General features: G+C 43.5%; 1 annotated feature.

Moving 5' to 3' along the window:
- Positions 2,232-2,784: an enhancer, noted in NCBI's record as "OCT4-NANOG hESC enhancer chr7:23958471-23959023 (GRCh37/hg19 assembly coordinates)". NCBI's record gives its function as "activates a minimal SCP1, AML or CMV promoter by ChIP-STARR-seq in primed H9 embryonic stem cells {active_cell/tissue: H9 hESC(primed)}" and the evidence as "EXISTENCE:reporter gene assay evidence [ECO:0000049][PMID:30033119]".

Raw genomic sequence — 3,832 nt, 5'->3', positions numbered from 1 at the left:
AAATCTCATAGCTGGGTTAGTTGGTGGCACTGTACATTATATTGAAGGCCAATCTCAACCAGATCCTCAACTTGACTTCATAACCTCATCACATGGCTACAGACAATTCCCTGCCCACTCGCACACCTATCTCAAATGTTCTCTCTTCTCCTATTACCTGTGACTCCATCAAATCCCTCCCTTGCTCTCAGCAAACAATGCAAGGTCACAGGGAAGCAGGAGTCTTCAGATGCAGAGGCCATCGATATGCTGATGACTCCCTAATTCAAGCCTCCAGCCCTGGCCTCCGTATAAGCTCCAACCCCAAAATCAAACTCTTGATCATCCCCCTTAAAAAACTGTGGTCCTCTTTCAGTTCCCCATCTCAATGACTGGCACCACAATCAATTTCATTGGACAAAGCAGACATTTTCAAGCCATCCCTTTTACATCCTTCCCCCCAGCCTGAAAATTCATTTCCTCACCAAGTCCTGCATTTTGCTTCCTCTTTACATGTCAAATGAATCCACATCTTTCCATCTGTATTGCCATCTCTGAATTGCCATCCCTAAGCTGTTATCTTGCCTTGCCTAGGCTCTTGTTTGATAACCAACCACTACCTACAATGCAAGTGGCTCGTGGGCAGGCACTTTCACAGTAAATCACTCAAATACACAAGGCCTGGAAGAAACAAGACTTGCTGGATTGGCCACTGTAAAAGAGCTTATTTATTCAACAAATACTTTTTGCATTTCTACTCTGGTCTAGACATTATATTAGATAATGGAGAAAATATGATCTAAGAGTTCCTCCTCAAAAAAACTCACCATCTAGAAGGTAGTGGGAGCACTCAGTCAACAACAATAATATAAAGCAGAATACAAACATTCTGTAAGCAAAATGCTGGGGCAGGGAGGATGGCAGGTACAATTTAAAGAAAGAACAAATCCCAGACAAATGGATGTTTAAGAAAAACTTCATGAAGGAGATGGTGTCAACACACAAAGACAGGGTAGATGGACAATGAACACATTATAGGAGAAGTTGAGTTTCTAAGCAAAGAAGTAAAAGCCAGAAAGTACAGGGGAAAAAATTCAACCCGGTGATCACGGACTAATGAGAGATGGAGTTAGAATGGAAGAGTTGTTGGAAATCCACTGGGAGAAATTCAATGGGGCATGGGAAAAACTTCAAACAGAGGGTTTCTCTCTTTAAGTGGCTTTGCTTTAGGTGTAATTAACATTTTGAGTGACTTAGCTAAAATGAGGGAATGCTTTAAGTCTATGCCACTCCATGCAGACTTGGGAATGAATTAAGAAGAGCCCTGTTGATGACATCTATGCACTTGGTACTTGTATTGGTCATACCTGAGACTGGGCAATTTATAAAGAAAAGAGGTTTAATCGGCTCACGATTCCACAGGCTGTACAGGAGGCATGATGCTGGCATCTGCTCAGCTTCTGAGAGGCCCCAGGAAACTTACAATCATGGCAGAAGCTGAATGGGAAGCACACATATTACATGGCTAGAGCAGGAGCAAGAGAGGGGAAAGGGGAGGTGCTCACACTTTTAAATGACCAGATCTCACGAGAGCTCACTCGCTATTGTGAGGACAGCACCAATGGGGAAATCTGCCTCCACAATCCAATCACCTCCCACCACACCCCACCTCCAACATTGGGGGTCACACTTTGACATGAGATGTGGGCAATGACACAGATCCAAACCATATCAGTACTCCATAGTTTCTCACAGCAGATGTAAAGAGGAGATGTGCCTGCAATTTCTACATTCTTAGATCTTCACAGTATTTAGATTGGCACCTAAGAATCCAACTGTAGTGCCTAACAGATCAACGTTGTCCATTCCTTCACATAATAACTGTGACTGGCCTGTTCTACTGTTCTTTCTCAGAGGGAAGAAAACACATTAAACTTCTCTATCAAAGAAGCCATAGGCACATGGGCTTGTGTAGTTGCCTGAGTTACCCACAATCAGAGCCGAAGAGATACCCACAGCAAGATCAGGACAGAAGAGAGTAGCACTTAAGCTTCACAGGTGGTATTTCTTATTCTTTTTATCCCTGGTGCAAAAAAGCAGAATGCAAAGAAGCAAATTATGGCACAGTGTTGGGGAAAGGGTGGGACATGGGAAGTAACTAGACAGCAATATGCCACCACATCTTCTCCCTCACTGCTGGCAGATGTCACCAGTCAATCAAAACATCTTTTCCCACAGAGTCTAGCAATGGCCTCGAACCATTTCTGAACTTACCACTCCAGAAAACCACTGCCAATCAGTCAAAGTTGGCCCACAAGAACAAATGTTTTTTCCGTTCTTAGAATAACAGAAAGAAAATCACAATCTGTAGATCTGTGTTCAAACCCATTCAGACTGTTCCTAGCTATGTGGCCATGGGCAAATTCCCAATTCTCTAAGCCACAACTTTCCCACAGCTTTGAATGGAGATAACAACTTTGCCCTTACCACCTGCCAGAGTTGTGGCAAAACTCAAATGTGACAGTGCATGGAAGAATGCTTTGAAAACAGCAGGGCTCTATAGAGGTTAGATGTTCTCCAGATGGGAGGCATTACTACTTGTCACTTCCAGAACATTCCATGTGCCCTGCCCAGAGCACATTCCTTAGCCTTGGTTAGCTGCCTGCAGGGTCACATGTGAAAAGAAGCCAGCAGGAGGAATTCAGCAACTCTCTGCTGTCCTTTGCACCTTTTCATCTGTTCTTCCTCATCCAAAGCAGACAGCATGTGGACCAGCCAGACTGCCATCTTTACTACAATTCTCCTGGCAGCACAGAATGGCCCGTGCCCAAGGAGCTGAACTTGAACTCAGCTGACTGGCTGAAGCCAGTCAGTGCTTAAGGGTTTGTAACAAATGCAAAATGCAACCACAGCTGTAGCTAAAGAAAACAATTTATAGCAGATTAAACAATTAACTTTTGAATAATAATTTCATATGAATTTATTTTGCATTTTGTGATGGTACAAGGTGCTCTGTGCAGATGCTTTCCTAAATTAATGAGGCACAGGGATTATCTAAAAAGAACCATTTGGCTGGAGGTTCTGGAGTTTTCCTCAGCAGGCTAAAGTTGGATGCCAGTGAAACTAAAAGTTGGAATGATTATGTCCTTGCAGAGAAAGTAACACCATGAAGAATGCTGCCAAGAGCATCCAAGGAGCAGCACCAAGACTGCAGGAGCCCTGTTCATGTTCCCAGCATGCACAGTGCACAGCTTCCTGCCATTTTTATTCTGAGATGTGGAGAATGAATTATAGGGGCAAGTGCAGAGGCAGATAGATAGACTTAGGAGACTATTGGAACAATGCAGATAAAGATGATGGCAGTGCAGGGGGAAAGGGGACTGAATCAGGGAGGAGGATTGACCAGATGTATTAATGGATCAGATGGAGGAGATGAATGAAAGGGATGAATTGAGAATGGCTCTAATGTTTTTAGCTTGAATAACTGGATGGATGGAGGTGGCATTTACTGAAACAGGGAAAACACAAAGGAGGTGTGGCTGAGAATCCAGTTTTATCTTGAGCATTGAGAGGGTTTTTCCTCCTGACATCAAATACATGGTCTTTTCCCACACCACTTCTCCAATTTTCCAACACCAACGAAGTGTCCTATAATTCAATTCAATTCAGATGCTAACTACCTAGAGTTTAGCTTCAGACTCCGCAGTTTAAGGGCTCAATCCCAACAGACTGCCCTCACTTCATATGCCAGGCACAAGTATCAGGTCACCTGTACTTGACCTGATACTTACTAAATTGGAGGTTCCCACGACCCCCTCCTAGTTTTAATAATTTGCTAGAATGGTTCACAGAA

This window comes from Homo sapiens, chromosome 7 (genome assembly GCF_000001405.40).
Source record: "Homo sapiens chromosome 7, GRCh38.p14 Primary Assembly".
Classification (NCBI taxonomy): Eukaryota; Metazoa; Chordata; class Mammalia; order Primates; family Hominidae; genus Homo; species Homo sapiens.
The sequence above is the reverse complement of the archived record's forward strand: the minus strand, read 5'-3'. Positions and strand labels throughout refer to the sequence as shown.